This window comes from Homo sapiens, chromosome 16, assembly GCF_000001405.40.
Source record: "Homo sapiens chromosome 16, GRCh38.p14 Primary Assembly".
Taxonomy (NCBI): domain Eukaryota; kingdom Metazoa; phylum Chordata; class Mammalia; order Primates; family Hominidae; genus Homo; species Homo sapiens.
In genome coordinates this window covers 77,085,646-77,094,991 of record NC_000016.10, presented here as the reverse complement: position 1 = coordinate 77,094,991, position 9,346 = coordinate 77,085,646, and the positions used below count along the sequence as shown (strand labels likewise).

Below are 9,346 nucleotides of genomic sequence, written 5' to 3'. Positions count from 1 at the left end.
TGAAGAACTTGGCACATAATTGTTCTTAAATTTTGCAAAAATATGGCAATACCATAGATTGGACACAGGTGCTAGAGATGGTTAATTTGAGAGAAACAGTAGTTGAATTTTTAGGAATTTTGTAAGCTGATTAATAAACCATCAGTAGCTTGATATTAGGCACAGTGGGTGCATTTATGCCACAGAACTATGGCAAATACTATAGATCAGGGCTTTCCTGCCTGGAGCTGCTTCTTGCCATTTTCCAGCACACCACTGGCTAGAGACTTCAATGGGATGAATACAGGGGTGGCCCTGCTTTCTTTGGAAAGCAGATGCTAAGAGTTTAGTAAGCAGGAGCCTTAATAAGGAGTGAACTTAGGACAACGCATGTTGAAGGGAGGGAAAAATTTGGAGTTCGGGAAGTTGAGCTACAGTTCAGACCCCATATGCCTTGCCTGAATGCATGGAGAGGTCTGGGGCTAGAATAGTCATTCAGAACTGTCCTGAGTCATCCTGGAAGATTAGGACTTCAAACTCCTGCATCCATCATCCATTTGACATAGGCCACCCCAGGCAAGGGTATGACCTGGCATGAGGCAGCGCTGCAGCTTAGGCAACCCCTAAAGGTTGAAAGCACTCCCATCTGCTGGGAGAATGGATCTTCCCTTGCAGGATGATCTGGACAACACATCACAGGGTCCATCAAAAGGGTAAAGGAAATCTGTTCTTGTATTTAGAAAGCTCATGGACTGGTGAGCTAGACAAAAGGAAAAAAAAACACTTGAATATATTCTATGGGTCAGTGCTAGGACTGAGGAAGACAGGCTCCTGAGGATATGGGTTGTATGAGAATGTGTACATGAAGAGGAAGGAAGGGGGAGGGAAACAGAGTGTTAAACTAAGCTCTGCTCTTTGGCAGGCAAAGTTGCCGTAACAAAGTCAAGAAGTCATTTACTGACTCTGATGGACCGGGAAATGTTATAATGGGGAAGAGAGCAGCAGCTTAGGATGGTGTCTAATACCTTTTTGGTGTTCATCAAATAATGTAGTTATGGGTCAACTTGAAACTGTTAGAAAAAGGTGGAGGCCACATAATTCCTTTAAAGGCATGTGCATCTTGCTAGATGGACGGGGCAAACTGGGCATGATTTTTCTTTTCTTCCACATTCCCTAACAAACAATAACATCTTCTGCAGTACAGCAAAGTACAGAATGTAATAAATACCCAAACCCAACAAACTCCTCTTCCTTACCTTCAGCAGCATTGATCTGAGCACAGCTGCCATGGGGAATTTGCGGCCCAATGGCAATGCTTGTCAATATAAAAGCCCGAGTCATTTTCCTGCTGACACATGCCCCACTTTCTACCTTCTTGTAGCTAGGAGGAGGGGTAGATGAGAAAACTGACCATGGAACAGCTGCTGATTTATATTCCTTTTCTGGACCAGGGAATTCATATTGATTAGTTGGATGAATGAGTCTGTCCCTTTGTTTTAAAAGACTGGAGTGAGTGTCTGCCCTTGGAATATAGCATAGCTCCATTGCGACATAACGAATAAGATCCACTGTGTTTTTTTTTTTTTTTTTTTGTAAATCTCAATGCCTTTACTATACTTATGAAATACACCTGTCGATGATGCTTAACCTGGTTATGGAAAAATAGGTCTTTAGGGAGTTCTGAAGAATCTGCCAGCAAAGACATCAAAATGTGTTGTCAGATTCTGTCTTTGAGCTCTTTCATGTTGCTTAATATAGTTAAACTGAATTTGTCATCAAAGTAGTGGATGGCATATTTGTTACTCATCTGAATTCCATTTTCCTCTTATTATTCTGTTGTGGGAGCTCATAATTGATCAAGCTCATGCAAATAACTTTGGCTGAGTTCCTCTTTTATAAGACTCACTTGCTTATTGTGGGGCAGACAGGGAAGGAGGGATTTGCGGGGTGGGGGGACTACCACAAAGCATACATCTACATTTTAAAGGGATATTTGTCTTTAACATTTATAATTAACATGTTCATAAAAATACATTCAACATTTATGTTTTCCAGGAATTCTCTGGATGAAGGTGACTATTTGGAGGAAATACTTTTTATTTTATATTGGTCCCTTTGCTCTATGTTGACTTTTGAAGGAAAAGATTGACTTTTTAACAAAATTGTAATCAATTTTAAAGGGTTAGAAATAAACTTATTCCCTGGTGCTCAGTTTTGTCTCCTTGAATTTTTCCCTTGGTGCATCCTGGTTTTTTCCTCTGGAGGAGCTCAAAACAAATGTTCATCCTCTTCAACTTGGTAATCCTTCAGATGTTGAAGACAACTCTAATGTTTTCCATTGATTTTTCTCTTCCTCAGATAGACTATCTCTAGTTTCTTCAACCACTCATAAATTAGTGATTAGTATTTCTAGGTGCTTAAGCCCACCCATTGATACCCCCACCAGTGGTCAAGCCTCCAGGAAAGTGCTCAAGGCTCTCCCCGCCGCATCAGCTGGAATTCACCTCTTCCTGTCCCTTACTCCTGAAGAAGTGTGTGCTTTGGTTGCAACATTGCTCCTGTGCTTTCTGGGTGATTTGCGATTATTTTAGCTCCCCTTCCAGCAGTAGTCTGAGCCCCTCTTTGTCTTCCAAGTGACCTGGAGACACCTCTAATCCATTTGACATTTCCATCTCAGTAAATTCATACATGGACGGGAGAGAGAACAGGAGCGGTGGTGAAGGATGAATAAAACGTAGTAGAATACATTTTGAAAAGGGGCCATCATTTTTGTTGCAGTGCTCTTTGAGAGTCAGTGTCTCTCACACAGAGATTTTTCTGAGTGAAAAAATATATACTCCAGATATGATAACTTCTAGGAGCAATTCAACTTCCAGTAATGCTTTTTTCCCCACAGTACTCAAGACTTGAGATTTCAGTTCTATTCTCAGCAACTTCCTGGGTGTGTATAGAACATTCATACATTTCCACAAATGTTCCCAACTCAGACATAAATAATCACGTTAGTGCTTCATCATTGTAACTCTCCGTCTAATGTATTTTTACGAAATTTATAAACACAAGTCAGAGAGCACCCTGTGCCATAACCTGCCTTTTGCCCACTCATTGGGTAGACATTGGGGTCATTTCACCACCACTTCAAATCCAGAACACCATTTACAAAGGTTCCACTGTTCTTACTTTTAATTATTGGCATGCACCTCTATTCTAGCCTTGCTTTCACATGTTCACAGGGCCCTTATCTTTTTATTCAGTGAAAGGTTCATGCTATAAAGCACATATTTTGATTTTTTAAATATTGGATTTCTAAGATAGGGCATTCTCTTAAAGAATCAGAATGCTATAAGTTTATAGGTCTCTTCAGTTGCCATCAGATTAGCTTCTCAGAAGGTGCGATTATCAGGCTCCGTGTCCTCTGCTGTTCTTGGCATCTTCACCCTCTAATGTTCCTGCTAGATCACTCTTTCTCACCTTCTCCACAGCATCATATTCAGTCAATAGATGGCAACTGCGATTAGTGTGAAGCAAAAACTAGTGCCAAGCATCCAATGGATAAAATAAAACAAACAGGATGGAAAGCAGATGAGGCAATCAAAAAGCTCAGATGAGTGAGACTTGCTGAACACTAAAAATTAAAGATGTGAGGACACATAAAGCTGGAAAATATGGAGCTGTCTCTGTTTCCCTCACTATGCCCCTGGAGAAATGTGAAACAAGTTTTGCCCAAAGCCAGTCTCATTGACAGTGTCCAAGGATTCCCAATGAGCTTCCCAGATATCCCGATTCTTAAAGGCTTTTCCTGTCCCAATTGCAACAATTGACTCAAACTCTCTTTGCATACTCGGCTCTCTCCCCCTAACCTTGGATTCTTGAAACTCAGAAGACCCCGAGCCTGCCCTAGAAGATCACAGTAATTCCTATTCACCCCTTACTTTGGATATCTCCTAGAAAATGCCAGCTAATTGCTTGAGTTTTCAAATTTAACATTACTTTCTGCTATGGTTTGTTTGTTTGTTTGTTTATTGAGATGGAGTCTTGCTCTGTCGCCCAAGGCTGGAGTGCAGTGGTGAGATCTTGGCTCACTGCAACCTCTGCTCCCGGGTTCAAGTGTTTCTCCTGCCTCAGCCTCCTGAGTAGCTAGGACTATAGGCATGTGCCACAATGCCCGGCTAATTTTTTGTATTTTTAGTAGAGACAGGGTTTCACCTTATTGGCCAGGCTCGTCTCCAGCTCCTGACCTCAAGCAATCCGCCCACCTGGGCCTCCCAAAGTGCTGGGATTACAGGCGTGAGCCATCACTCCTGGCCGGTTCATTTGGTTTTAATGCTGCTCTGGATCATGAAGTGACTCTGATCTTGTCTCAGCAATGTGGGTCCAAAGTGGCTCCAGCTATCCTGGCTTATGTCAAGAACAGGTCTGCAGTTTAAGCACCCCAGATTTTCTTGCTTTTATTAAGACTGCAGTGCATGTCAGCCCACTCAAAAGTGAGCTACCTTAGGTCTATGACATGTGTACCTGAGCACTTTGAGGGAAAACCACAAGGAACTCTGGTTTTATACCACTACCATCCTATGATATAAGTGGGTGAAATGAATCCAAACAGAAATTAAACTCTGAGTGTAGGGAGAGGCTATGAAGGGTCAGACACTGTCTAAAAGCTTGTGGAGGAGTGTGAGTCATGGTCCTTGGCCATCACTGTGCTTATAACCTAGACAAGGAGATAAGCTATGAGTGGGAAAAGCAACAGCCATGTATTAAAACAGCAGTAATGAGGAGGTACTCAGGAGGGAGAGACGTGGAAGAATTATGAGCCATCTTTATCAGTCTTATTTAACTCTGATTTATGAAAAACTTGTTATCTGTAGGAGTGAACTTTTGCAATCTGGCTGATGAATGACTAGGCTTTTTGATGTTACAAATGTGAGCTTCCTTGGTAGGAAGGATCATTAATAGATTAATGCGAAACACATTTTCCAGTGAAAACATGCTAAAAATGGTGGTTAGGCCTCCAGAAACCAATGTAACTCAGAATATAACTGAAATATTTTGATGCTGTATTACAGGTTTTCATTCTATACTGAAGGACTAAGCCTCCCATATTTCAAGCCACTTGGTTGCAGTCTTTTTTTTTTTTTTTTTGAGATGGAGTTTTACTCTTGTCTCCCAGAATGGAGCACAGTGGTACGATCTCAGCTCACTGCAACCTCCGCCTCCCGGGTTCAAGTGATTCTCCTGCTTCAGCCTCCCGAGTAGCTGGGACTACAGGTGCACACAACCACGACTGGCTAATTTTTGTATTTTTGGTAGAGACGAGGTTTTACCATGTTGGCCAGGCTGGCCTTGAACTCCTGACCTCAGTTAGGAGTTAGGAGTTAGAGTGTTAGGAGCACTCTATATGTCTCAAACCTCAAGGTTTACTCTTCTTGCTCCCCAGTCATGAAACAGTATTATTTTTTCTCTCTTCCCTCTTAGGCCAACACACACTGTTTCTGGAGGTAGTGGAAACACTGGAAGAAGGTTTTTGGTTATTCAAAAACTGGAAGGTTACTGCAGAGGAAAGGTTGGGGGTAGTAGAATGAGTTAACTTCAGTAGTAACACAGGATCTATTGAGTTGAGAGTGATCTAAAAAGTAAGGCCACATATTTCAATAACAAATAGTTATAAGCCATAGCTCTCTGTTTTATCATGTCTCGAAAAAGTCAGAACATTTCTGTTAATCTACACTTTTCCACTTTTAAAAATGACTTAATACCTATTTTGTTATCTCATTTAGTTTAATGGGTTGATTGGGCTCAACAGGGCAGTTCTTCTGCAGCTCTGGCCTGGGATGTCCCATGTAGCTCTTGTCACCTGGCAACTGAGGCTATACTCATCCGGAGGGTTGATGGAGGTGCTGGGACAACTGGGCCTTTCACCGTCTATATATAGTATCCCAGCGTTTCCCCTCCAGGTAGCATCTCTACGTGGTTTCTCCAAGTGAACTCTCCAGCAGAATATATTGACTTCTAAATGATGTTTCTGGGCTCCCAAAAGGTAAAGCTGCTAGAACTCTTTAAGACTTTGGGTAGCTTTTGTTGCATGGCTTCAAGTTCACTGATCTCGTCAGTGTCTTACGGCAAGAACAGGTCTGAAGCTTGGGCAACCCAGATTTCCCTGCCATCAGATTAATTTCTCATAAGGTGTGATTATCGGGCTCTGTTTATCTGTCATTAAACTCATTGAGTGAACTGTTCATTTCAGATCTGGCATTTTTCATCTCTGAAAGTCCTGCTTGGTTCCTGCTTACCCATTTCTCTTTTTTATTATCTTTTTCTTTAAATTCTCAGCCTGTCGAATAGTTATAAATGGTGTTTTAATTGTCTTAGACAATTCTATCATCTTCGTCATTTATGGTATTTTGTTGACTGATTTTCCACCCAATATGGATCCCATTTTTCTGTTTATTTCTAGTATATTTTATTAGCCAATGGACATTATGAGATTTTAATTTTTCAGTGCTTTTTTTTTTTCCTTAAGAAGTGCTAGACTTTAAGGTGGACAGTTAGACTACCTGGGAATAAATTGAATCCTTTTAAGGCTTATTTTTAATCTTCTTAATGGTAACTCCAGAGTAGGGTGACTCTTTGTCCTAATTTGTCTGGGACTGAGTGTTTTTCAGAGATGCAAGATTTTCAGTGCTAAAACTTCAAAAGTTGTGGGCAAACCCAGGCAAGCTGGTTATCTTCAAACTCTAGAATAGACCTTACTAAACTTCTGAAAAAGGTATTTAGAAAGTATAATTTTTGAAATTCTATAGACTAAAAGTGCCTTCATTCTACCTTGTACATTCACTGGTAGTAACCTGGGCATAACACTAAGTTAGGAATTTATTTTACCTAATAATTTTGAAGGCATCGTTTTGTTGCTTTTAGCTTCTAGTATTGTTATTAACTACACTGGAACCTTTGGACGTGACCAGTTTTTGTTATTTGCTTTGCTCTTCTTGGAGTCTGTAGGTTATTTCTTCCTCCCCTCCATCACCTGCCAACCCCTCCCACCCCTGCCCACCCTATCAATAATATGTCTTGGTCTGAGCCTGTATTCTCATTATCCACTTCATCTGGCAATACATATCCTTCAGTTCTAGGGAATTTTCTTGTGTTTATACACAAATTCTCTATCTCTGGCACTTCTGATCACATGTTAGGCCTCTTGAACTCTTCTAATTTTCTGATGTTTTTCAATATTTCCTCATTGAAGTGTTCTAATTTCTGAAAGATGTCCTCAGCTAAATTTCTAAATTTTCTATTGAGTTTTTCCTAAGTATTTTCGGGGACCTTCCATATGTGTTTCCTTTTTCATACCATCCTTGTTTCCCGGCTCTACTGTTTTCTCGACTCTCTAAGGATAACCATGAGTGTTTTGATTTTAAATTGTACTCTCCTTGTATCGTTTCCCATTCTTCTCAGGAAATATAAAGTGTTAGTGTTTTTGCGAGGATGTGGCAAGAATCTGCATATCTATCTCCTTCTTGAGAGTTTCAACTCATATTCCTACTTTTACCCCCATCCTTTCACGTTCATTTTCTGGCAATGTGGGCATTCTGTGTCTAAATTCCATTTTTCTCCATTTTCCCCAGTGCTGTCTTATTCAGCTTCTCAAGGATGCCAAGTTCATGAACACTCTTTCTGTTTCCCAGCCTCTGAAATATGGTTGTTGTTCTTCCTTTTTCCATCCTCTAAGCTCCTGTGTTTCAATGTCTAAAAATATCTTCACTTTTATTTTAATGTAATGAGAAAGGATGCAAGTCTTTCTGTGTGTTCAATTCATTATCCTGTTTGTTTTTGTTTAACATTACAATCTATATTTTTTTCTGTTAGCCGAAATACTTATAATGTTTAATAGATACATCTTAGATATTTTATTTAAACATTGTTTGGTCTTACCCTTGATGGGAAAGTAAAACAGATTCCTAAAGATCTTAAATACACTTTTACATTTCTATAGAAATCTGAAATTATTTTTGATTTCTATAAATTCACATCTATATTACAAATTAAAAGTTATGAATCAATATTTAACTGCAAATGGGGAGTATTGTAACAGAAATATTATTATAGTCAGATAATAAAAATCAAGTTAAATGTAAAATACAAATTACTTGTAATCCCAAGTTACAAGTATTGGTGTATTTTTGGAAATCATGATTTTTTTTTTTTTTTTTGAGATGGAGTCTCACTCTGTTGCCAGGCTGGAGTGCAGTGGCGCAATCTCAGCTCACTGCAACCCCCACCTCCTGGGTTCAAACGATTCTCCTGTCTCAGCCTCCCAAGTAGATGGGACTACAGGCATGTGCCACCATGCCAAGCTAGTTTTTTATATTTTAGTAGAGACGGGGTTTCACCATGTTGGCCAGGTTGGTCTTGAACTCGTGACCTCAGGTGATCCTCCTGCCTCGGCCTCCCAGAGTGCTGGGATTACAGGCATCAAATCATGTTGCTTAATAGGAGTCTAAACTCATTGCATAGTTTCAAGTGTTAAATTCTTAAAGTTAAACTGTTTTAGTTGTGCAAATTAAACTAATCTACCATCAGGAAGGATACAAAGAAGCTGAAATGTATTTTCTGATTTGTTCTTTTCTCACTATGGACACTGCTAGTAACATATTCATTTGGAGAGAAACGTTACAATGTTATTTCTTAGTGATGGAAATCAAAGATGCAGGAGACAGAGTTGAAAGCTGGAGCAGGATGCCTTTTGAGATGGCCAGACTGCTGAGTAAAATGGCTTATTGCTTTTTAAATTGCCTTATATTTTCTCCAAATTCTTAAACAGGCCCTAGAGAACAATTCATCCTATGTCTTTCAAAACTAGCTACTTTAAGAAATGCTGATTTAGTTTTTTAGTCAAAGTTGCAACAGTTGGAGAAGATGATCTAAGATTTTGGCCTTACTGTTAGTGTGTGGCCTTACTGTTAGAGGCAGCAGCCCTCTTTGGTTTGTTCCTTGTGATACCAAGAAACTCTGAACAGGTATAGGAAAAACAATTCAGAGTTGATCACTCTCTTCTTGTAACTTTCTGGGTTCAATTCATTTCATTCTTTTTCTGAGTGCTTCTCTATTTTTTTTTCTTTAGTGTTCTGATTTATACCTTTTATTTTATTTGGGTCAATTTCCCCCATCCAAACCAATTCAGTCCAATTCATTCTAACCTAATCCAAATGAGTTAAATAAGCATTCCTGGTGTCAACCTGACCTTCACTTCCATTTAGAGAAAATCAGATGGGAGCTCACATATGTCTGGGTTCCAAGTGTTCACATTTACTTTAATTTGTACTTGTTCTGTCTTCCTTCTCTCTTGGAAGGATAAAGGAGCCGCCTGTTTGCC

The 9,346-nt window shown here is 39.8% G+C and overlaps 1 annotated feature.

Moving 5' to 3' along the window:
• Positions 6,010 to 6,179: an enhancer, noted in NCBI's record as "experimental_44931 CRE fragment used in MPRA reporter constructs". NCBI's record gives its function as "activates a minimal promoter by MPRAs in K562 erythroleukemia cells, with activity observed for both the introgressed and non-introgressed 16:77122795 variant alleles {active_cell/tissue: K562}" and the evidence as "EXISTENCE:reporter gene assay evidence [ECO:0000049][PMID:34662402]".